Raw genomic sequence first — 26,921 nt, forward strand, 5'->3', positions numbered from 1 at the left:
AGTCTGGTCTTGGCTAAGCCACAGCAGTAAAAACACAAATACAGTAGCTCAAACAAGAAAAAGTTTACTTCTGTCTGTCATGCCAGTCTGGAAGTAGGCAGGCCATCCAGATGAGGCAGGAAGCTCTGCTCCATGGGAATGTCTGGGAGCCGGCTTTCTTTGATTTTTTGCTCTAACATCAACCTCCTCTGGTGTTTTTCTTAGTCTATTTGGTCAAAGTTGGTTCACCAGTGCCCTATTCACATGTCAGGCCACAGGAAGAAGAAAAGAGAGAAAGTGGTAGACAAATAGTTAACCTTTATGTAAATGGCGCAGAACTTGCATACATTCCGTTGCTTAAAACATTGTCATGTGGCCACAACTAAATATAAAGGAGGCAGGAAAATGTAGTCTTGAGCAGTGGCCATGTCTGTGTCTTGTTAAAACTTGGTTGGCAGAGAGGAAGGTCGTATCATTTAAAAGATGAGGAGTACATATACCAATGTCATTTAGCATACTCTGCCACAGTTTACATCCACTGATCTAGGGAATACTGTATTTGTGATCAAATAACACAGTGGTGATCAAATCTAGAATCAGTAATATGTTTATAGAGTTTATGAGTGAGAAATCTGAGTCTCAGAAGTTTGCTGTCAACACTCAGCAGAACAGTAGTATAGTGGCAAACTTTGGTCCTTCTCTCTTCTTCATTCTACTACATTATTACAATTTCTTAAGAGTTGGTACTTCATACTAGTAGAGTTCTTTGAATGAGCAAATGATAGAAGAAACTAACCTGCACTGGCACTTACAGCCCGGAAGTTATTCTCAGCTTAATTAGGTGCTCTTCAACGATCTGAATCAGACTAGCAAACACGCAGCATGCTTGCTGCCTTGCTCCTCTTCCATAACTATGTACTTTTGGTGACATCCTTCTTTCCTGCTAACCTGAGATCTCAGAATTCTTCTTAAGGTAGTGCTTCAAGCTGTAAGCAATCTCCTTTCAGTGGAAGGGAGTTGCATAAAAATAAAAGTTACATGTCATCCCAGAAATGGGTAATTATCTGAATATTTCTGCACCCTCTCCCTTTTTTTAAATCCATTCTTTTGGGCATGGGGGTGAGAGCGTGTGTAGTTACAGTAAGAATTCCAATGTTACCCTTATTTTTCCCATGATATTTTCTACTCTCTCCTAATCCCTACCACCTGCAATCCCTCAGTTTCCCCTGCATTTCTGGCAAAATTCTAGTTTTTCCACTACTCTGCTATCTTTGAAAGATGTCAACCACCTTAAGTATTTCTGTCTTGTGTCTTATTGCTTCATGAACAAAAAATGGTGCGAAGTGTAGAATAACAAGTTTACCTTCAGTAGAGGAGTTATAAATCTGGAAGGAATGTTAATGTCAGTGTATCATTGGCCTTCAATGATTTTCTCCCTTATAGGCTTTTATATATGCTTTTCCCTTTGCCTAGAACTTGCCCCCCACACACACCACCTGCCTACACTCTTTCCTCTAATATAGTTTTCCTAGCACCCAGGTTTCTGTATACTTCTTATTTAATGTCTTTTTTTTTCTATAAAACTGTAAATGAAGTGGAAGCAATGCTGTGTCTCATTGCCCTTTGCTCTTTTTCTAATACCTACCAAAGTTTCTGGCCCTTAAATACTACAGAATCAGCAAATGAATGATTGAGGGGGAAGATAGCAGGGAAGAGAGGAAACAAAAGAAAGAAGAACCCAATCTTTTGGAAGCCCTCCTTGTTTCCTTCCCTTGATTCCGGGAAACATGAGCTCTAGGGCATCAATAGCTAATAGCATACATTTCTTTAGCATTTTACAAACTCTGTGTTCTCTTTTCTCTTTTCAATCCCCAGTTACTTCTTTGCTAAACTCAGTTTGCCTGAGGTATATTTATACAATCAATGGGTATCATACATTTGCAGTTTACATTATTTTATTGGAAATAATCAAGAGAAGTTTTGAGAATTGGCATAGGGTCACCAACTTTTTTTGTCAAAGAAAGATGGTCTTAGACCAGAGAGGTCTGGCTTCCTTGCCCGTCGCTTTAGCCTATAATTTTAAAACTTTAGTGTGGGGTCTACCTTCTGCAGATATGCCTCAGAGGCTGAGGATCACAGAGGGTCACATTCCCTCTTCAGTCAAAAGTACTCTAATCGTAGGTCTCCTTTATCAGATTATTAACTCAGCCTGTTTCCCCAGGTCTTCTTTGATCCTTCCTTCCAGGATATCCAGGTCATCCAGAGGTATCATCTCCCATAATCTTAAAACCAAACTTCTTATCGACTATGAAAATAGCCCCCACAATTACTAAGAAGATCATTTCACTTTATAGAAGTCATTTTTTTTTTGCTTTGGATACCCTCATAATGGAATTTTTGTATTGTAATATTTGATTATTATTATAATCTAGAAAGGGAAAGTGATAGAGAACAGTTGCATCATCTCAGAAAGGGGCCCACATTCACCGTGTCTGCTCTTCCTAACAAACTGTTCTCAAGATGTTCTCATCAAGGAGCTTCTTGTGCTATATCTTTGTTAAAGAGATGGAGCCTGAGTTCTGAGGTATTCTGATTATCTGAAGAGATTACTTAATGACACAATGCTATCTCAAAGAACAGAAGTAGGGAGATTCAAGACAATTCTATTCCTTACAGAGGTACAAATTTCTATGCTAGGAAAACAATACGAAAGATACACATGGCCCATAAACATAACCATTCCCATTCACAAAATTTGTAAGTGAAACCAACCAGCAACCTCATGTGAGAATGTTCTTCTATATTGATTCACTGAGAGAAATGAGGACCTTAATTTTCTTAAGAAATCACCCACCTTCAGAAGAGTCTGAACTCTGTATTGGGGGTGAATTGGAATTGGTCTCAAAGCTTCCCTTTCTCTACCTTCTTAGCTTTTCAAGAGCAATTGTTATCTTACTTTGTTGTCCTTCATAAGGAAATCTGAAGATTAGGAATCCAAAATATTTGAGCATAATTACATAATAGATATGTTTATGCTCTGTACTGATGTTTGCCTGAGAAGGAGCAATAAGTGAGGTTAGTGGTTTCCAACTCTAAGGACTACTTTGTGTGTGCCAATTACAGGGCTCTGTGCAGAAACACCTCACATGTACACACACTTCAAAAGCCACTATGATTTATTTTTACTTGTGCATTTATACATCCACAAAACATTTCTTTGAGTAGAGCATTTCAGGTCTAAAAGAAAAGTAAGAAAACCACTCAGGCTAGAGTTTGAGAGCATAAGGAGGCGGGAAAGGAACTGGAGAGTAGAAGCTACAGGGTATACTGCTGCAGGGCATGGCTAGGGAGAAGAAGCCAGAGTTATAAAGAAGTGTAGAGCCTTCACAAAATCTGAGGTTCATAAAAATAGAGACATTTTAGGGATGAGGATAGAGGACTTGGAACATGGGCACAATGGACTGAAGCCAGAAAGCGATGACCCAGAGTCTGTGCTCCTAGATCAGAAAAGCCAGGAGAAGTCTCCAAATTATATGTACCTGGGAAAGAACACAAGCTGAGATTGGCTATCCTGTAGATGAGCAGGTGCAAGCTGGAACTGGGATTAAACAAGAGGGGATTTTCTTTGTCCACCTACCCAATGTACAAGCTGAGAGAAACTGTTCAGGACTTGAGCTAAGAATAGAAGTTCCGAGGAAATAGGAAGTGAGAGAAACTTAATATATTTACAATTTAACTTCATTTTTTTTTAATTCAACAGATCTTCATTGAGCTTATGCTATGTGACAGATACTTTTCTAGGCAGTAGACATTCCAAGGAAACAAGGTCCTTGTTCTCATGGAACTCATGTTCTAATGGGAAGAGATAGACAATAAATAACCAAGTAAATAATTTAAGGAAATGAGACAAATTGTGAGTGTTATAAAGAAAATAAATCAAGGTGATAGAATAATAAGTGACTGGGGTAAGGCATGGGTGATTCAATTTGGCTTGCTGAAACCATCTCTGGCTGTTGTTTGTAGAATGTGTTTTAATGGAAGCAGAAAGATCAGAGAAGGCCACATGGTAATTCATGTGAAAGATAACGATGGACTCAGATGGCAGCAAGTCAGATAGAGAAATCTGAGCAGACCTAAGATAATCTTGTGTAGGTGGCTCTATCATTATAGGGAAACAGTTTGTGTACTTTAAACTGCTCGGCCAATATGTGCCTCAGTGATACGTGGCGGAGCTTGTCTCACTGCATAACACAGCTATGACATGATAAGACAGGCCCTGCAAGGGAAACTGCTGACCTCACTTTGTCCTTTCTGGGTACCAAGTGACTAATAGTCAGAAGGTTTCACTCAGTTCAGTAATCTGTGTTTAAGAAAACAAAAGGGGGCTTTTAAACATGAGATTTAGTGAATATGACAGAGAATTTTTGAGATCAACTGAACTCAGTTTGTAAAAAGAGCTAGATTCAGCCCCCCAAGCATGGAATAAACCTTGGAAGTTATGCAAGAAGTTGTACAAATCTTCAGGTTCTTATTGATAACCTGATGAAAGCCCCAAACAGTCCCTATGCTGGTCCAAGTTTGGGTCCTCTTAGGTCCCACGTTCCTCCTGCTCTAGCGTCCTGCTCCACTGGGGGCTATTTTTTATTTCCAGTGCCCAGAAATGGCTGTGTGACTATATGTTTGCAGTCTGTTGGAGGGAAGCAGGTCTCTCTGCTAACAACTGCACACTAGCTGACATGCTGCTTAAATTGAGAAATGTTTCTAAGCTTTTTTGGTAGGAAATAATCTTTCCTGCTTAGTCTCCCTCTGTGTTCCCCCAGCAAACTTCTTGTGTAGCATTATTAAATATTCCCCAACATCAGTGGCCAAGAATGACACAATTCTGTGACTCCTCAGTCACTTCATGCTCCACATTAAGTGGAGTTTCTTCCTAGAATGGGGAAGGCAGAACATTGGTAAGAGCTAGGTGTCTCAGAATCTTTGGAAATAAAATCCCTGATCCATAGGTAGTTGGCTCGCTAGGTTACCCAGATATCAATCTGACAGGACAGTTTTCTGTTCCTCCCTGGGTCTTGATTGTCATTCATTAGGAATGAAATTAAAGTTTGAAGGACAGTAGTCAAATGGCATTCATTTGCTCTCTTCCTCTTTGGCAAATCTAACAAACATCAGGCTTTTTCCAGGCAGGAAGAGCCTCATTTCTAAAGAGCCAATTTATAAATATCATTACCTGATTCTGCAAAATGAAGATAGTCCTAACTAGAGTAACTATCCATGGTGTTGGGTGTTAGTAAATATCATCTCATTGGTAGTGTGTGATTTTAAAACCCACAAAACTGCTATTATATGGATTTTATCTAACTGTTTAAAACCGATGATCACCTTTGAAACTACTGTTACGAGTACTAGGACTTACAATTTTTTTTTTAAGAAAAGCTACATAAATGTTTTGGTGGATTCTTCTTCACGTAAACAATCATTGATTTGCTATCTCAGAGCTTCAAGAAATCTACCTTATGACTGTCAAAAATGAGAGCTGACTCTGGCCTCTGTTGTAATAACTAATTGCTCTCTCAGTCACACACACACAAAATTAAATTTGGGTTTAAAAAGTATCCTGGCCAATCTACTTTTTAAGTGTTAAAATACATGTTGATTTGCCTGACGTGGTGGCTCATGCTTGTATTCCCAGCACTTTGGGACTCAGAGGTGGTGGATCACCTGGGGTCAGGAGTTCAAGACCAGCCTGACCAACGTAGTGAAACCCCGTCTCTACTAAATACAAAAAATTAGCCGGGCATGGTGGCACATGCCTATAATCCCAGCTAAGGCAGGAGAATCACTTGAACCCAGGACGCGGAGGTTGCAGTGAGCCGAGATTGCACCATTGCACTCCACCCTGGGCAACAAGAGCAAACCCCGTCTAAAAAAAAAAAAAAAAAAAAAAAATATATATATATATATATGTATAAAGTTTCTTCCCAAATCATGACAATTATCATCATTTCACATTTTCCATATCTGGAAGTATCATAATAAAGAAAATTAAAACCTTAAGGTAGAATCACATCTCGTACAATGGATTTAGCACGGCAGTAACCTTAAGTTCTGACACCAGATAAATTTGGAAGTCAGGAAAGATAGTCATGATACTAAGACATATGTTTTAATCAGTTACATTGGAGTAGTTACCAGGTAATGGAATTCATTAAAAGAAGTGGTATATTCCATGTAGCTATATTAAATACTCGAGCATCCCAGAAGCTAGTGATACTATATGCTTCCAGTTTTCTGAGAAACTTGACCAGTTTAGCAGACTAGAAGCATCATCCAAAGTTCTTGTGCTTGCCTTATATCAAAGTTCTATAGTCTTTAAATACATCGGTAAGGATAAAGAGACTGGAGCAGAATCAGTTTGCTGAGTCAACAAAGTGCCCAAGATGATTACTGTTATTGTTTTCTCACCTCATCAACAAAAAGCATCCCATATATATATATGTATATACACCATATATATGTATATATACACACCATATATATACACACACCATATATATATATATATATATATATACCATACATATATAGTGTGTGTATATATATGGTGTGTATATATACATATATATGGTGTATATATATATGTGTATATATATGGTGTGTATATATATATGGTATATATATATTTTCCAATATCAATTTTCCAATATCAATCTACTGAGATATATCTCAGTAGATTGATATTGGAAAATTCGAACTACCATTTTGTTTATAGTCAGTAGTAATACCCTGCTAAAGGTCGATTGATTTATATGCTTTGGGAATACAGTTAATTCAAAACACTGCATGCTTGTACTTTGGAATAGTTGGTCCCATGAGGTATGAACTCAGACATACTCGTTTACTTCAAAGTGAAACAAAAATTCTGATTACCTTAAATAGAAAAAAATTGAGTTGCTGAGAATATACGTAAAATTGTCTTTTCATTTCTGTTACTTTAGTGATTAGAGTTTTTTAAAAATATAATTTCAAGTTTTATTTTAGATTCAGGGGGTACATGTGTAGTTTTGTTACATGGATATATTGCATGGTACTGAGGTTTAGAATATGAATGACCCCATCACTGAGGTAGTGAGCATAGTACCCAATAGTTAGTGTTTCAACCCTTGCTCCACTCTCTCCCTCCACCCTCTATTAATCCTCAGCATCTATTATTGCCATCTCTATGTCCTTAAATGCCCAACATTTAGCTCCTACTTATAAATGAGAACATGTGGTATTTGGTTTTCTCTTCCTGCATTAATTCACTTAGGATAATGACCTCCAGCTGCATCCATGTTGCTGCAAAGGACATGATTTCATTCTTTTTTATGGCTGCATAGTATTCCAGGGTGTATATGTACCACATTTTCTTTATCCAGTCTACCATTGATGATTCTCTAGGTTGATTCTACGTTTTTGCTATTGTGAGTAGTGCTGTGATTAACAAATGAGTGCATAAGTCTTTGGTAGAATGACTTATTTTCTTTTGGGTATATATCCAATAATGAGATTTCTGGGTCAAATGGTAGTTCTATTTTAAGTTCTTTGAGAAATCTCCAAACTGCTTTCTGTAGAGGCTAAACTAGTTTGCATTTTCACCACAGTGTATAAGTGTTCCCTTTTCTCTGTAGCCTCACCAGCATCTGTTCATTTTTGACTTTTGATAATAGCCATTCCAACTGGTGTGAGATGGTATTTCATCGTGGTTTAGATTTATATATCTCTGATGATTAGCTATGTTTAATGTTGTCTCGTACATTTGTTGACCACTTGTATGTTTTCTTTTGAGAAGTGTCTGTTCCTGTCTTTTCCTACTTTTTAATGGGGCTATTTGTTTTTTGCTTGTTGAATTGTTTAAGTTTCTTGTAGATTCTGGATATTAGACTTTTCTTGGATGCCTAGTTTGGGAATGTTTTCTCCCATTCTGTAGGTTGTCTGTTTACTATGTTCATAGTTTCTTTTGCTGTGGCAGAAGCTATTTAATTTAATTAGGTCCCACTTGTCAATATTTGTTTTTGTTGCAATTCCTTTTGAGGACTTAGTGATAAACTCTTTCCCAAGGCTGGCATCCAGAAAGGTATTTCCTATTTTGTTCTAGGACACTTAGAGTTTGAAGTCTTACATTTAAATCTTTAATCCATCTTGAGGTAATTTTTGTGTATGATGAAAGTTAGGGGTCCCATTTTATTCTTCTGCATATGACTAGCCAGTTACCCTAGCACCATTTTTGAATAGGGAGTCCTTTCCCTGTTGCTTATTTTTGTCAACTTTGTCACAGATCAGATGGCTGTAGGTGTGCTGCTTTACTTCTGTGTTCTCTATCCTGTTCCATTGGTCTGTGTGTCTATTTGTGTACCCAGACCATGCTGTTTTGACTACTGCAGCATTATAGTATAATTTGAAGTCAGGTAATGTGATGCCTCCAGTCTTGTTCTTGTTGCTTAGGATTACTTTGGCCATTTGGGCTCTTTTTTGGTTTTATATGAATTTTAGAATTGTTTTTTCTAATTCTGTGAAAAATGACATTGGTAGTTTGATAAAAAGAGTGTTGAATCTGTATATTACTTTGGGCAGTATGGCCATTTGATGATACTGATTCTTCCAGTCCATAAGCATGAAATATTTTTGTTTGTTTGCTTCCTCTATGATTTCTTTCAGCAATGTTTTGTAGTTCTCCTTGTAGAAATATTTCATCTCCTTAGTCAGATATACTCTTAGATATTTATGTAATGTGTATGTGTGTGTGCCTATTGCAAATGAGATTGTGTTCTTGATTTGGCTCTCAGCTTGAACATTATTGGTAAATAGATATGCCACCAATTTTTATTCATGGATTTTGTATCCTGAAATTTTTGTGAAGTTGTTTATGAGTTCCAGGAGCCCTTTGGCAGAGTCTTCAGGATTTTCTAGGTATAGAATCATATCATTAGTGAAAAGAGAGAGTTTGACTTCTTTTCCTATTTGGATGCCTTCTCTTTCGTTCTTTTGCCTGATTGATTGATCTAGGTAGGACTTCCAGTACTGTGCTGAATAGGAGTGGGGAGAATGGACGTCTTTGTCGTGTTTCTGTTCTCAAGGGGAATGCTTCCACATTTTGCCTATCCAGTATGATGTTGGCTGTGGGTTTGTTATGGATAGTTCTTATTATTTTGAGGTATGTTTCTGCAATGCCTAGTTTACTAAGGGTTTTTATTATGAAAGGACATTGGGTTTTATTGAGACTTTTCCCACATCTATTGAGATAGCCCAATGGTATTTGTTTTTAATTCTGTTGATGTGGTGAAATTGATTAGGATCTTAATGCAGATTCACAGATGAAAAATTGTTCTATTGAGTAGCAAATCCATGGATAGCAATCACAGCTAGATAGTCACAGCATTACAGAGTATCCATGAAAAGAACTGTTTACTTAGCATTTAGTAAAAGTCATAGAATACCAGTATATAAACCTCTGGACTTACAAATTGATAATAATTTTGTACATTTTTCTTAAGTTCTTGCTTGATCGAATATTTCTATTTTCCTATTAGTTTTAGGTTTGATTAATGGATCACTGTAAATTCAGATGCACCTTTGCACTCACAGTGAATATATGGATGTTCCTTCCACTTCTAATTGTTCCATAAGGATGTAAAATATTCTTAAAACTGTGAAAATGTTAAAGCACATTATAGCACACTTTATAGCCTTTCTTTGTATTTACCCTGCAAACAAGTCTTTGAAGCATAGAAATCTCACCTATCCATAATCACAATTGACTGCTTTACTAAATTTTAAAATGAGGTGGAATCGTAATGTATTTTAATTGCTAATAGGTAATAATGGCTAATAAATAGCAATTGGTTCAAACCTAACAAAAGTGGGACTCCATTTCCTAGTGTTCTTGCCACTGTGAACTTGAATGAGGCATTTATATATTCTGTAAAAGGTTAGTAATACAACTATTCTATAGTTTACTTTTGCAAATTAAGATGTATGTGAAGATAAAATATAAATAATTTGAGTTATCAGAAGAAAACTAATATCTAAATCTATGGTATCGTATAGTGAAATTTTACAGTAACAGGAGCTATTTATGGAATTAACTAAAACCTACAGGTGTGTGTTGGTGGAGCTCCTGACAACACAGCTTCATAAAAAAGAAACTGCTTGACTCAAGGAGACAGATAAAAAGAAGTGTGATTATATTATATGAGTTTGTGGTCATTTTTCCATGAATAGTTGAGAAAATGACTATGAAAAAGAGATTTGGTAAAGAAATGTATTATTATGGCTGAGCATGGTGGCTCACGCCTGTAATCCCAGCACTTTGGGAGGCCAAGGCAGGCGGATCACAATGTCAGGAGTTTCAGACCAGCCTGGCCAACATAGTGAAATCCTGTCTCTACTGAAAATACAAAAAATTAGCTGGGTGTGGTGGTGGGCGCCTGTACTCCCAGCTACTTGGGAGGCTGAGGCATGAGAATTGCTTGAACCATAGAGATGTAGGTTGCAGTGAGCTAAGACAGCACCACTGCACTCCAGCCCAGGCGACAGTGTGAGACTCTGTCTCAATGAAAAGTAAAATAAAATAAAAAAAGAAATGTATTATTATTCAGCGAAAAAATTAGTATATGTTATTGCTTATCAAGTGTTTTGCAACTCATTCTAATCAAGGCAAAATAACTTTATTGAAAATTGAAAATTACAGTCTCCATAACCAAGTGGTTATACATTACTTAGTACTTTCAAAGTGATACCTCATTGCTCTCCTTTAAGCTCTTATTCAAAGATATATTGACTGTCTAAGAATCTGTGCAGGTCATTTCTTTAAATACTTAGAAAAGGATTTTTATTTTACTAAGGTTATCTATTACCAAAAATTAATATTGAAATGAAAATAAATTTTAAGTACCATGATGAATATTTAGAGCTACTCCAACAGTTTAGTGCTATTTTTTTCTTGCAGGCTTGTACAGCATATGTGGATTTTATGATTTCTGTGGCCAGATTGATTCGTCAGGAAGAAAGATTGCCCATCGATGAAAACCAGCTTGCTTTGGAAATGAATAAAGTTATGGAATTGGAAAAAGAAATTGCCAATGTAAAACACATTTTTTTTTCTGATACACTGAATAATGTCAACCGCTTTTTTTCTTTCCCCTCTCTATCATACTTTAAGAGTAAAAGGTACAGCACTTTAACCAAGTAGTAAAAATGCATGGCTTGGTAATAGATCATTGACTTCAAAAGGACCTTTGAAACTAAAGAATTTTATAGTAAACTGGGTTCCTGACATTTAAAAGACACACTAAATTGGACAAATATTAAACTAGAAACACTTAATTGCCTTTTATAAGTGGATTCCATCAGAATTCTACCATTTACAGTCAAACTGTTGTTAGATGCCCTTCAGACTCAGAGCAAATGCAAAGCTGTTTTAGTTTTGATATGTATAGAATATTACTTTATTTTAAAGTTTAAAGTGATCACAGAGATTGTCTCTATTTCTTTGCTAAGAAGTATTAACCCCTGAACATAGCCATGTGGCAATGTGATACTACTGAGTTCAAATTGTCAGGCTGCTGAGCTGACGGAGGGTAAGACAATAATTTTGCAACAAAGCCCAAGGAGTGTATTCCTGAATTTCTTCTGGCTCTAGATCAACCCTTGGAGTCTGAGTTGGCACTTTCTTCCCTGATGATTCTTTGATAGGGCACTGCAGTCTCAAGTGAGTGAACTCTGAGTCTAAGCAGCATCCAGGTTACTGATTAAACCCATCGTCAGAGTCAGTCTAGGACCCACAGAGTTCTCTTTGTCATTGCAAACGACAACCTGCATCCCTGACTCCCTATCTGCTTGCCCCTGCCATCTAAGCTCATCAGAATCTTGAAGAGTTAAGATCATGGAGGGCAATTTTAGCTTTCCTGGGGCTACGTGAAACCAAAAATCTCCTATCAGAACCAGGGTGTTCTTGGAGCTGCCACTGAATGAATGGCATTTGAATGGGTTACATGTGGTTCTGTGTTGGAAACAGACTTGCTAGAGGAGAAATGTTTCCTGCTCTGGGTTTTTGCCACTTGCACCTTCCCAGACCATGCGCTCCTTTGACCAGCATCAGCTCTGTAGTGTTGTGTCTTACCTCAGCATTATGTGTCTATATTCTCACTCTTGTATTAGATTCTTGTATTAGATTGGCATGAGGCCTTAGACGTCTTTGAATCATTTATGCATCTCTAACAAAATCCAGCATAGTATTGCACAAAGGACATGCTCAATAAATAATTGTTTTCAGTAAATGAATAGGTAAGTGACCTAAAGGGGAAACTGGAGCCATTGTCACTGAGAAATAATTCCAATTTTAAACCTTTACCTTTTGTCTCTTCTCACTTAAAATTGCTTTTACTCATTTCAGCCACTAGTTGGGGAGTTGTTATTGCAATTTTTCTTTTTAATTCAGTGAAAGAAATAAAATTGGATGCTGCTGGTCTGGCAGGATAGGAGAACAGTCACAAAGGTCCATGATGTTGCCATTCTCAGATAACTTGCAACCAAATTGTGCTCTGTACTAGGAAGTTTCTCTGTTACTTGCGATAAATTCTTATAGAAACTCTTGCACCTTTTTTTCCTTGCTGAATTTTAACTAGGACACCGAATGGTAATGGTGAAGATGGGAGAGAGAGTATTTAAGAGAGAAATTGGAGATGACTATATCAAAGAAAGTTAAAATATGAAACATTCACAGACACAACTGAACTGGCCATTAGCCATAGCTCATAAATATTGCTTATATGGCTTGGCAGTTGTCAAAATATAGACAGATTTTTTAAAAATTTTAAACTTGACCCCACAGCCAAATCTCAATAATTCTTACTACTTCTACTCCAAAAATCTCTTACATTTCACTTTTTTTGAAATGACAAAACAAATTACAAAAACAAGTACAGAATAGGACTTAAATTATGTTGTACCTATCCTATATTTTTACCCTCATATGTAGTTATATTTTTCTAAAGAATTCTTAATTCTAAAATAATGATTAAAAATTAAATCCATAGGCTACGGCTAAACCTGAAGATCGAAATGATCCAATGCTTCTGTATAACAAGATGACATTGGCCCAGATCCAAAATAACTTTTCACTAGAGATCAATGGGAAGGTAAGTGGTAAGTTTTTTGTGCTCTCTTATTGTGCCGTTTTCTAAATTATAACATTGAAATACTCTTTCTAAAATTCGTCAAGTTTTTATTTATTGAAGTAAATGGGACTTCAATTCCTTTTTTTTTTTTTTTTTTTTTTTTGAGACAGGGTCTCACTCTGTTGCCCAGGCTGGAGTACAGTGACACAATCTTGGCTCACTGTAACGTCCACCTCCCAGGCTCAAGCGATTCTCCTGCCTCAGCCTCCCAAGTAGCTGGGACTACAGGCATGCACCACCACACCTGGCTAATTCTTGTATTTTTAGTAGAGATGAGGTTTGGCCAATCTGGTCTCGAACCCCTGAGCTCGAGTGATCTGCCGGCCACAGCCTCCCAAAGTGTTAGCCACAGGTGTGAGCCACCACTCTTAGCTGGTAAAATTCCTTTTAAGGCAGCTATACAATAATACTAGAAACTCCCATAGGAAGGGGTTTGAAAAATACTAAAACTGAAAATCTTTCTGAGAGGCCATTATGTAGTCATCAGACTTGGACAGTCACACAATAAAAGCACTAGATTTCCTTTTAACTCCAAAAAAGGATAATTTATTCATAGAACTTCCCGTGTTCTCATCAAGGCCATCTACAGAGGTGTTCAGAACAATAATTCAGAAATAGGACACAAATAAAAAGAAAAGCTCTCTCATAGATTCCATTTATAAACAGCAGTTGACTTCTTTTTCCTTACCTAGTATCCAATAATCTCTTTTTGTGGCTATGCATTTATTCTCGTGTATTAGTTGATGCACACAGCCAAGAGATGAAGCAATATCCATGGGAAAACCTACAAACTACCACATTCAGCGATGACATTCTCTTTGGCACTAATTCTAGTTAACAAGGACTTTTCCAAAGGCATAAACTATTGAGTTAGACATCTTACATAGAATTTTTTAATATAATAAGTGTTTAATAAATACGTTTTGAAAGAATGACCTAAACCACCAAAGGAAATGAAGAAAATTGTATAGCATAGCACCCTATACTCAGTAAGTGATGTGTGCTTGTGTCTGTGTGTGTAAAATACAACCTAAGATATTGATAGTCTTAAACATTATCAATTCCCATTTAGAAAGACAAGATTTCATCTTTTGGCAACTCCGTACTTAGCTTCTGAAGTATAAACATGGCATGCCTGTAGACCCAATATCGATAATTGAAAAGATGCTGTTTTCTTTGACTTCATAACATCACTGTACCACTGCTATAACAGTATATTTTCATCTATAATAGGATTTCCACTGAGATGTGTTACTGTGTTTGAATGAATTGTTTATTAATACCCACTTTTAAAAGCTAAACACTTTACACACATTTCCATTTTTGCATAAACCAAAAAAGCTTTATTTTTAAATTTAAATTTAAATTATATTTTTATTTTCTGTATTGGTTAGACAAAGAAGATGACATTAAGCCTAATTTCTAGGTATATGTTCCTTAAGCTTAAAGGCTTTGTTTTCGCTCTTAAATGGTTGGCTTAATTATGCTAGGTAAATAATCATGTTGCAGAACTAGTTTTTATTTAAAAACTGATTGAAACAATTGAGGAAGAATCCCAAGTGAATATCAAACTGATCCAACCCTCTAACTATAACTGAATCTTGGACCCAAGAAGAGAAATCCACAATTTCTGAATGTTTCATGCCTGCTTTTTTCCAGCCATTCAGCTGGTTGAATTTCACAAATGAAATCATGTCAACTGTGAATATTAGTATTACAAATGAGGAAGATGTGGTTGTTTATGCTCCAGAATATTTAACCAAACTTAAGCCCATTCTTACCAAATATTCTGCCAGGTAGGTATGTCACAGTCCCCATGTCCTCAAAGTTTGCATTTCATATCACTCTTCAGAAGCTTTGCAGCCTCATCTTTTCTGTTGCTGGGCGGTGGTTTTTTTTATACAGAGATCTTCAAAATTTAATGTCCTGGAGATTCATAATGGATCTTGTAAGCAGCCTCAGCCGAACCTACAAGGAGTCCAGAAATGCTTTCCGCAAGGTGAAGAAAAAATCTCTCTTTTCTTAAGACTTAAAGCATAAAGTGATACATGGTTATGAAGGCTTACCATGTACACTGCTAGGACATGGTGAACTTTGCAAAGGGACAAAATGCCAAAGTTCGTTATCTTGCACATATTTAGGACATGTTGCTGAGGAAGATAAATCTTCATGGGCTTTACCATCTTATGATGGTCTATGTGGCACGATGATTGCATTGTCCTGTAAGGAGTTACATTTGGTTATTTAACCAGTTCATGAAAGAATACTGTCTGGATTTTTTGTTGTTGTTACTGTGTTAAAAGTAATTTCGGGGTTATCTATTTTAATTAATTTGATTTTCAGGTGCTCATTGCACACTGGACATATACACAGATGGACAATATTGATGTGGGCAGTCTATTGAAAGTACCCCTACCTGGAGTTAAATAAGACCTTTTCTTAGCCTATACCTATATTATTTAAACAATCACTGTTTTGGTACTATGGTGAGGGGAGTAGGCAGTAGGGATTGAGGAAGGAGAGACTCCAGCAAACATGTTAGTTGGAGTCTTGGAAAGAAAATAACGTGGACTGATTAAAATTTCTAGTTTTTATCCTTAAAAAGAAAATGTAGACATCTTTTTAAAATTAAAGAATGCAAAAATGTATTGTGCTAAATCTCCCTTACTTAGGTTATCCTGTTATTCTTAAATTTATACACATACAGGTTCTGTAAGTACTCAGAGTTCAGCTAAAACCTTGAAAAGCAGTAATGTGTTTTCTCATATACCATATTTCCCCCATTACATTTATTGAATATGACTTCACATTTATGTTTGTGCAGTGGTTACAGTGTTGTATGTTTTTCTAACGCTTTCTACAATGATATTAAGTTGTAATAGCAAAAAGTTCTACTGGGGCATCTACTGAAAATATGCCTAGTTTTCAGATCATATATAAGTAAACAATCCATTTGGATTACATTTCATCATAGGCTAGGAACATGGGCCTTGTGAGGAGAAGTGATGAATATTTCAAGAACTTAGATGAGACATTTGTGAAATGTGTGCTCTTAACATGCTCCAGACCTTTCCTTCTGGTCAAATGCCATTTCCTTTTTCTTTTCCGTAGGCCCTTTATGGTACAACCTCAGAAACAGCAACTTGGAGACGTTGTGCAAACTATGTCAATGGGAATATGGAAAATGCTGTGGGGAGGCTTTATGTGGAAGCAGCATTTGCTGGAGAGAGTAAACATGTGGTAATGTTTTCAGAATAATACACTGTCAGTTATACAGGACACTATCAGTTTGTTCACACTGATGAGCAATTACAGTTCTCCATCATTTGGCTAAAATTTTATTAATTTAGGCAGAGAACCTCTGAATCATAATATGCCATTGTTTCCCAATAAATCTTCCCTTGCCTTCCCCAAGAGTCTAGTTATGTTTCTGCTCCTAATACTGTCTAGTCTGAAACCAACTCACCATTTTCCAGAAGCAGTGTATTTGGAGTACCCAGTAACATGTTCTATTGATATAGTCATTTATAAACTCTTCTATTATCAAAATTGCCCCCAAATTAGTATTTTCTTAAAAACATAGAAAGTAAAACAGGATTTATTTGGAGTATAAGAAATGTGCTTTATTTTTCATTGTTAGGAAAATGAAGACAGTGGAACTTAATGGTATGGTGAAAGAATTTATTGAAATGCTACTTTATGCTTAGCTAAACCACTAATGGTAATGACAGCCCTAATATTTTACATTAGTTCTTCCAGTATGATAGTGAAACCATTATATTCTGAAAATGATTTTTACCTTAATGCATATATTAAGACCTATTTAATCAAGAGTGTCGATAATAGCAATATTGCTTTTAAAATATAATGGTCCCATATATCTGTTAGCTTAGGTCACAGTTTGTCTATAAATTTACGTTTATTAACATATTAAGTCATACAAAGATAGCATGTAGCTCTATTTTTAAAAATCTGTGTTACAAAGAATGAATTAATGACCTATATTTGTCTTCTGTTCTGATTTGAGGTCGAGGATTTGATTGCACAGATCCGAGAAGTTTTTATTCAGACTTTAGATGACCTCACTTGGATGGATGCCGAGACAAAAAAGAGAGCTGAAGAAAAGGTAAAGAGCAGACAGCTAACTAGCAAAGAAAAATCTTTGCTAGTATAGGAAAAATTAACTTTAAAAACATTTAGAAAAAAATATAATCAAAGATTGCATAAAAACTTGTAAGCTCCTTCAATATGTAGTGTTTCCAGAAAGAGTTTTTGTGGATAAAGATATATTTCTACAATTTTAATCTTTTATCTCTGCAACCAATACTCTAGCAAGGTGAAAATATTAAGTTTCTGTTCAAGCAAATGTAAGGTGGTGCACTATTGGTGCATTATAAGATCTATAATTAAAGAGATGTTGAAGAAGCTTTTTTATAACTATTCATGCCCACCCATAATGTGCAGCTTTTATTGAGACTTTTACTGAGTTTCATAAGAATAGGTCTAAGATTTCTCAGGAAATCTTAGGTTTAAATTTACTGTGATCATTTGTCTTTATAATTATATAATAACTAGGGGGAACATGTCCTGTGAAAACTGTTAACATGCTTTATGAGCAACATTCACATGCATCCTGACTAATCTCTGTAGTTAGGTTGGCAGAAAAAGCAGACGATTTGGATTGATAGAGGAGACAATAATAAATGTATTTTAATAAGATAATCAACCTTGGTCTAGTTTTCTTTTAGAATTAAATCACATGGAAGGACTATCTTTTTTCAGCTCTCAAAGAGCCCTGAGTGGGTTAGGCCTAGAACCTCTGCCCCCAGTATTGCTATCTTTCCATCACTCTGGCCAGCTCTTCAGACATTCAGGTTGGATTTGCTCCTTTCATGTCACAGCTGTGCATGACATGGCTCTGCTTGGTAAAGCCAGTTGGATTGTTCTGGATCGGCATTTCCAAAGTGGTGTCACAAAATACTGGACATGCAAGTTATTCCACAAGAGGCTCATGGTCAAAAGAGTTTGGTGAACACTTCTTGTAGGAAGGCTTCCCTCATCTCACCCTAGGCTGGGTTACATGCTCCTAGGGTGTGATTTTATTATCATACGTGGGAGTTAATATTTATTTCACTGCTTATCATTGCTGTTTACAATAAGCTCTTTATGGTTGGGGGCAGGGGGGCAGAAAATACTGCCTAGCATTATATCCTCAGCCCTTTATAACATACCTGGCCCTTGGTAGACCCTTGAAATATATTGAGTGAGTAAATTGATAAATTAATTTCCCATCCTGGATATTTATAATAACTTATGATTCTAACCTTATAATCTAACCCATTTTTAATTGTAAGAAGTCCTGCAATAAAGAAACTTGCTTAATGTTTTTGCGACAGCATTTACCCGAAGTAATTCACAATAATTTTTTTGTGTGTTTACTACCTTATACTTTCTGTAGAATTTGTATCCTTTAGAACACTCTTTAAGGAAATGTCTTACAGTAAATAAAGTATCATTAAGTGGGGGCTGGATTGTCATGACTGATGGCAAACCTACAAGAAAATGGGTTTGGCCTCAGTGACTTCAGTGATACATATGAGGCCTGATCCACTGACTGGGGAAATCCTGGGCTCATGTGACAGATTTGTAATAAAACTGCATCCATTTGATGGGAAACCATGTAACTCAGAGATACAGGCTAAACCCCCCATGAAAAATTTAAATTAATTAAATTATTTAAGAGTGATACGAAGTGGTAAAATCAAAAGTCAAGTATCATTGAGAAAATCAAGAGAGAAATAAAATAAAAATAGAAATAACAAGTAGTAAACAAGTGATAATGAAATAATAAAATAAGTAAAATAAACCATTTTAAAATAATTAAAAATGAACTTTAGAAGTAGTGATAAATAGGCCAGGTGCAGTGGCTCCCTGGTGTAATCCCAGCACTTTGGGAGGCCGAGGCAGGCAGATTGCTTGAGCCCAGGAGTTTGAGACTAGCCTGGGCAACGTGGTGAAATGCTGTCTCTACAAAAAATACAAAAATTATCTGGGCATGGTGGTGCATGCCTGTAGTCCCAGCTATTTGGGAGGCTGAAATGGGAAGATCACTTGAGCCCAGGAGGTGGAGATTGCAGTGAGCCCTGATTGTGCCACTGCACTTCAGCCTGGGCAACAGAGCAAGACCTTGTCTCAAAAGAAAAAAAAAAAAGATAGTAGTAAATACATAATAAATATGAGCTGGAATAACAAGGAAAACCTCGTTTTCCACTTAACTAATTAATGTCATTTATTGAACTTGAGAAGATAGGTACACTGACTTTGGAGAATAAAGGAGAACATAAAAACTCCAGGAACCAATATTTAGGACTAGTATTAGCAGTAAACCTATAAGCCCATATCTGTTTTCTCAGTCAAATCAATGAGGCAGAAAGGTAATTATAACCTGCTGGAATGGAAGCTGTAAATATTACTTCTTCTAAAAAATTGAAAAAAAAAGCTTTGAGAGAAAAAGTTCATAAAAGTACAAAATATGTGGAACAATGAGTTTTGTCAGTTTTTATGTTGGTTTTCTTGAGAAAGCTGCAGCCTATAAGGATAAGGCATTAGAAACTCAATTTCAGACCTGATTTTCATTTATTCTTGAACCTCCCAGGAAAGAGCCATTGCAAAGATCTCTGTTTAAGTATGTCAGACACTCATTTTATGAACAGTATGGATCAAGTTATTCAATTGCTAGTCATGGGCAGATTATAAATTTGTATCTGAAAGTTATATAATCATCTTCACATTCAATATTATAATTTTCATAGGCCTTAGCAATTAAAGAAAGGATCGGCTATCCTGATGACATTGTTTCAAATGATAACAAACTGAATAATGAGTACCTCGAGGTAAGTCTCTATAAAATAGACTCTGGACTACTGATACTTAGGGCTGGTAGTAGTGTCATTTTTAGCTATGGGGTGCCTGAAATTATATGAAGTAGCCTGAAACCACAGGTTGTATTATATAAAGCCTTCAACGCTGGTGCCAGAATGATATTTGTTTTAGCCTTTTTGTTTTCATTAGCCAGGACTATATTTGGTTATTGTTCATTTGGTTTCCATATATTCCATTTTAAGAACCGTAAGTAAAATCTGGTGTCCTTTAAAGAGTATCAAGGAAGGGATAGACATCAAGGTGGTGAACAACAGGCAGGCTTCTTATCACATTTTACACAGGCTTCGAGTTTCCCTCCACCTTCTAAGTTTTCCTCTACTGGAAAAACCAATTCATGCCTACTGTATTTTAAAAACAAAACAAAACAAACCCTGATATTTGAGAACTGAAAACTATTTTGTTCTGCCCTGGTAATGTAACAGTTAAAAGAGCAGAGAGTTGCTTAAAGTCACTGCAGTGCTGATTTCAGACTCAACTGAAAGTCTTGCTGCTAACTCTGCAGTCACCACAACTACATGATACCCTGATGACAGCGAGGTGATCCTTGCCCAGGTCCTGGGATGACAGTGATTCCTCATTCATTGATTACTAGTCTAGCATGGGGATTTGCAAACCATACTGCCTTCTTCTCTCTTTCCATTTGCAGAAGAAACTTGACTTTTTCTTTTAAATGAGCTGGTTATAGCTTGCAAGACCCAGGGGTCCTTATAGCAGGAGCATAGTGGCTACGAACACAGACTCAAAACCAAGTTCCTTGATTCCAGATCCCAGTTCCACCACTCATTTAAACTTGGTCGAGTGACTAAACTATATCTCAGTTTCCTTGACTTTAAAATGGGGATAGGAGCCCTTAGTTCATCGGTATTAAATGAACATAATATTAGATTCTATTAGTATAATAGAATTAAATGAGTATAATGTAAAATTTAAAGTACTTAGAATAGTACTTGGCACATGGTAAGTACTAAAGAAGAATGTGCTATTATCCACATGTGTTATGTGAAGATTAATGTCATTAATGTGAGGTTTGTTTGACACTTGGTTTCATTTGATTATTATAAAATAATACACTGAATTTGTGATTTGGCTGGAATACTGACCTGTGATATACTAATAGAATTAGGTTAACTGGAACTACATCCTTTTTTGGTAAGTTTTTTAATGCTCTCTTTTAACTTTATTGACTGATATAATTTAAGAAAATCCCTATGTTTTTAGCAAAAATTTAGAAGATACCGGTTTTAATATTTCTTCCCAAATCTTCTTTATAATACAGTTGAACTACAAAGAAGATGAATACTTCGAGAACATAATTCAAAATTTGAAATTCAGCCAAAGTAAACAACTGAAGAAGCTCCGAGAAAAGGTGGACAAAGATGAGTGCGTATATTCTCATTTCTAATGTGATCATCTAGAAGCAGGTCTTTCCCTCCTTTCTTTGTTGGATTAAGTGAAAGAGCCTCAGTTAGAAAAATATTAAAAAGTACAAAGTCCTCTTTTTATTGAGAACTTCTAAAAGCATCTAATTATGGTATACTAAAGATATGGATCAAGACTTTAACCAGATTAAAATACCTTTCTCATTAAGGTATCCTCAAATTTACATGTCTTTAGTTTCGTCTTATGTCATTGCCTATCAGCTCAATTTATTTGTGAACAAGATTCTCAAAAACCTTAGCTTAAGTAAGCCAATTCATAGCTCCTTTAAGCCTTCTCTTAGGCCTTACTCTGTGTCCAGAATTTTCTTCTGCTGACAGCCCCACCTTTTTTCTATCAGTCAATCCCACAACTCCATCCCCTTCATAGATAGTTAATGTAAGACTTTTCTAACCCTGTGGTAGTCAAATAGGAGATACTAGGAACCATTCTTATTCACAGTCTTCTTATGCTCTTAATCTCTGCTTATTAGTGACATTAGTATTTCCTAATAACTATTAGTTTAGATTTTATTTTTTCTATTAAATAGATATAACTAACATATTTATCAGCATATGTGTTTATGCACCGAAATTCCTAGAACCACTTATGTTGACTTTTTCTCCCTAGGCTCTTAGCCCCTAGACAACAGGGGCTATTCCTTTTGACCATAAAGTCTCAGCATCTAGCATACTGAAGAATCTCAGTTAAAACAAAATTAATGAGTGAGTGAGCAAGTGAAAAATAAATATACTAACTTGATTTGTGTGGTAACTAACACAGTAACATGCCAAAGAGGTGCTTGTTTCATTCATGCATTCATTTATCCTTTCATGCATTTATTAACATTTTGGAACACGAAGTCCAGGTGTCATTGGGTACTGGGAGAATCAAAGGTGAACTTTGATTACATTACAAGAGCAGAAGGTAGACAAGACATGGTGTAATAAACTGCACCACCAAGAGGGAAATGTCGTGCCAAGCAAAGTACAAAGTGCTGTGGGCTTATTTGATGATAAGACTGTTCTGTTCTCAGTAAACCAAGTACAGGTTGGACAAAACTGCTAATGGAAATGCCAGTGCATTTTAATCCTTACTCAACATGTTGAACTCTTGCAACACTGACGTGTCCTGAAAGAGAGAGCAACTCTTTTGCTGACTTCTAAGTTCATATTGGAACAAATATTGTGTTATCTGATGCTAAAAATGGGATTGCAAATATTATAGAATGTTTAGTGTCCCATCTGGGAAAGAAAGAGAGTGAATACACATGCTTGGCATTATAATCAAGTTACCATATCCTGTCTCTTGAAACACACAAAAAGTTATGCAAAATAATTATCTGGGTGAATTTATGATCTGAGAAATTTCTTATAAGTCTGTATATTTGTATTTCTTTAAAAATAGACATACTAAGATTTAATAATTGTTAGCACTATAAAATATCTATAGACAAATACTGTCAAATATTATTTCTGAAATGGCCAAATTAACCAGTACCCATAGGACATCAGGAAATTTCTTCATAATTCTAGAAATAGTTGTTGAATTATTGCTTGATGTTTTCTTTTGAGGTTAACGTAGTGCCAGTTTCATAATCATTTTGTCATATAATTTACACTGTTCATTCCCTTTCATCATATGGGCTGATTTTCTCTGCATTCTTCTCTTTTTAAGATAGATAATCAAAAGCCAAAAGTGTATACAATATTTTAATGAATGAATGGTCAATAGCACACATGCTTCAGTAGTACTTTTTGGTCCTCCCCATGAGCTTCTGATGATCACAAATGCAATATGAATTCTAAGGTCTTCTCTGCTATATGGAGCCAGCTTTCCTTTCTTTCCTATAGTCTGCCTGTATACCAGATACAAAGGTTCAAAACTCTAGCTGCACATGATAATCACCTGGGGAACATTTTAAAAAACACTGATTCCCCAGCTCAAGCACCCTAGAATGTGATGTAATTGTTCTGTAGCTGGAACCCAGATACTGGTATTCTTTTTAAGTACCACCCACCAAGTGAGAACCCCTGAGTTAGTGTTATTTCCCTTTTGTGTGATATCATTCCTGTTCATATTCAATTTTATGGAATTTTTCACAAGATGATGCCTTTAATTTGGCAATTTAGGTTTAAAATTTATTTTTATCTTCCAAAATAATCAGAAACCCTCTGACAGTAATTGCATCAAATCATTAAGACTGAGCCCTATAGGATACAACATGATCGAAGCTCCTCTCATTTTATTAAGGTTTCTTGCAGGGAAAGTTACTGACTTATTTTGAACCTGCTTAATAGTAATAAAGTTGGCTGGACATGGTGGCTCAGGCCTGTAATCGCGCCACTGCAGTCCAGCCTGGGCGACAGAGCAAGAATCCGTCTAAAAAAAAAAATGTAATAAAGTCATTACTCTTTTTTCTTTTCTCTTTTTGTGGAGCACCAAGTTCAAGTCCTTGCTGTGTATGTTTAGACAGATAATTTCTGTTGCTTCTACTTGTCCACATAGCCCGTAGTTACATCTTAGAGAATTACATTTTCAGATGCTCAAGATCCTCACTCCCAAAGTCTTGAAAGAGAAATATGTGTGCATACCCAAAACTGAAGGGACAGAGTTGAGACTTTTGTAGGGTTGTATTGTAGGGCACTTCAGAGAAATGATGATGCATTAAATTTTCAAGACAGCAACTAATGTAAATGAATTCAATTAGCCAAATAGTAAACTTCTAGACACTTTTTTCCCCCAATTCACATGCTCTCACTGGGCAAACTCATTTTACTTCTCGACATCTTCTATCATCATCATGTCAGCTGAATATTTGTATTTGACTCAGATCCATTTACTAAGATTCAAATCCAAATGTCTACATGCTTATGAAACATCTCCATGTAGATGTCTTATTGACCCTAAAAACACAGCATTTGTCATTTAGGCAAAAAATAATATCTGCCCATTTTCTAAAAACCTCCATTTTACTGCTACCAAGACAGAAACCAAGGACTCATTTTAATCATCCTAGACTTATCCCTTTCTGTTATTCCTGACATCTACAGTGATAGTTAATTCAAATCTCCATTTTAAAAAAAAAGTCTGCATCCACCAGCTGCTATTTAAATATTACGTAGGAATGGGAAGAGGGGATCTCTAGCTCACCATTCCCATGGTCACTTCTGTAATTCAGACATTTCTCACTGTTCATTGACTCATCTCAATTATTATCCTACTTTTTTTACCAACCACCTTCTATATCTTCAGTTTATCCTCCACACTACTACCTTAGAGATTTTTTTGAAGACACAAATTGGCATTTTATTTCCTGATGAAAACACTTCAGTGTATCCCTGTTGCCTGTCTCATGATGTGTGACTGTTTTGAAGAGAACCAAGGCTCTTCATACCCCACACTAGCACTCCAGAGTTCCTTCACATTCACCCTACACCTCACCATTGTCCAAAGCTCCAACCATATGAATTACTTCCAAATCCTTTCTCTGTCTTTCTTACATCCTTGTCTCTTACCCTGGACCACCCTTTATGCCCTGGTTCATCTAACAGAAACCTACACATGATTTGATTAAACTTTAAGTGTCACCTCCTTCCTCACAGCACCCCATTGCATATTTCTCTTCACCTTGGGCTGTTCTACACTTTGCACATTTTGGTCAAAGTACCAGTACATTTTACTACGTTTAGTTGGACTAGCCCCTATTGAAAGCAAAAACCAGATATTTGTGTCACCAGAGCTTAAACACTAATGAACAGAATGTAGCTCTTTATGAATGTTTATGGGAAGAATAAATGATAAAATTGCCAATTTGTAATAATGATAATAAAACTAACTCAGCTGCTAAAATAAAAATGGTCACATCTGGCTGGGCCCAGTGGCTCACGCCTATAATCCTAGCACTTTGGGAGGTCAAGGTGGGCGGATCACTTGAGGTCAGGAGTTTGAGACCAGCCTGGGCAACATGGTGAAACCTCGTCTCTACTGAAAATACAAAAATTAGCCAGGCATGGTGCCATGCAGCTGTAATGCCAGCTACTCAGGAGGCTGAGGCAAGAAAATCACTTGAACCCAGGAGGTGGAGGTTGCAGTGAGCCAATATTTTACCACTGCACTCTAGCCTGAGCGACAGAGAGACACTCCGTCTCAAAGAAAAAAAAAAAATGGTCACATCCAAACATTTCACTATCATGGCTGGGGAAGATACACAACATCATCTTTAACAAATTCAAGAAATTGAGGAAGTCAGGAAGTCTGCATGTGAGACACCCAAGTTAATAATTTAGCTAAAAGGGCCTCCCTCTGCTCTTATGAGTGGCTGGCACCTGCAAAGGACAGGGATTTACTTTTTTTTTTTTTTTTAAGACGGAGTCTCACTCTGTCACCCAGGTTGGAGTGCAGTGACACCATCTCGGCTCCCACCTCCCAGGTTCAAGCGATTCTCCTGCCCCAGCCTCCCGAGTAGCTGGAATTACAGGTGTGCACCACCATGCCCAGCTAATTTTTGTAGTTTTAGTAGAGACGGGGCTTCACCATGTTGGCCAGGCTGGTCTCGAACTCCTGACCTCAGGTGATCCACCCACCTTGGCCTTCTAAAGCGATTTAAATTTTAAAAGCTCTTGATTCATGTGGTTTCTGATGCCTAGTATGTGTTTCCAAAATCATCTCAAACATTATGTCTTTTAAGGATTTTGCGCCAGTTTGTAAAGAATTTTAAACATGTCATTATAACATAGAAATAGTGCTGAATCGGGAATATAATACCCTTTGGTTACTTAACAATATTTCTAAAATATTTACTTCTAGTAACATGAATTTTCATTTAGAGTTCATAGAGCAAACATGAATCTCTAAAGAAAAAGATGTACAAGAACAAAACAAAATGAGTCTCTTGTTTTTAGACTTGATGTTATTTTGTTAGTTTCTCAGGACAGAACTTCCTGTGATATAATTGTGATGGGTGTTGCTAGTGTTTGTGAATCATAACTGTTGAGCCCTGGAGTTAACTTTTTATAAAGTACAAAGAGGAATCTCATTGGTGCATCTCTCTTGCTGTTCTGCATCAAAATGAAAGCATACTGACATTGACAGGAGCCAAGTCAATAAACATTTATTGAGCAGCTAGCTTGTGCAGAGCACTGTGCTAAACAAAATAGATGACAAAGAGGAGAACAAGATGTTGCCCTTTACTCGGGAGTCTATGATCTTAAGGGGCAGATGATTAAAAATTAAATCTGATGAAAGGCGGGGTTTGGTTGCTGCTATTACCAGGAAACAAAGTGCTAGAACAGCACTTTTTTCAAACCACAAAGCTTTACTTATTAGTAAAACACAATTTTTCAAACCACAATTAAACCTTTACTT

General features: G+C 36.4%; 1 protein-coding gene across 10 annotated transcripts in view; it reads left to right on the top strand.

The window, feature by feature from the left end:
- The window catches only part of MME (membrane metalloendopeptidase), a 159,528-nt gene that overhangs the window by 102,934 nt on the left and 29,673 nt on the right, over positions 1 to 26,921 (top strand). For all 10 annotated transcript variants that reach the window (NM_001354642.2, NM_000902.5, NM_007287.4 and 7 more), the window contains exons 9-16: positions 10,967 to 11,101; positions 13,056 to 13,157; positions 14,856 to 14,992; positions 15,102 to 15,195; positions 16,308 to 16,436; positions 17,224 to 17,322; positions 20,009 to 20,089; positions 21,415 to 21,518. In NM_001354642.2, coding sequence (NP_001341571.1) covers positions 10,967 to 11,101; positions 13,056 to 13,157; positions 14,856 to 14,992; positions 15,102 to 15,195; positions 16,308 to 16,436; positions 17,224 to 17,322; positions 20,009 to 20,089; positions 21,415 to 21,518 — 881 coding nt within the window. The remainder of the gene's footprint in view (positions 1 to 10,966; positions 11,102 to 13,055; positions 13,158 to 14,855; positions 14,993 to 15,101; positions 15,196 to 16,307; positions 16,437 to 17,223; positions 17,323 to 20,008; positions 20,090 to 21,414; positions 21,519 to 26,921) is intronic.

The sequence above is a fragment of the Homo sapiens genome, chromosome 3 (genome assembly GCF_000001405.40).
Source record: "Homo sapiens chromosome 3, GRCh38.p14 Primary Assembly".
NCBI classification, from domain to species: domain Eukaryota; kingdom Metazoa; phylum Chordata; class Mammalia; order Primates; family Hominidae; genus Homo; species Homo sapiens.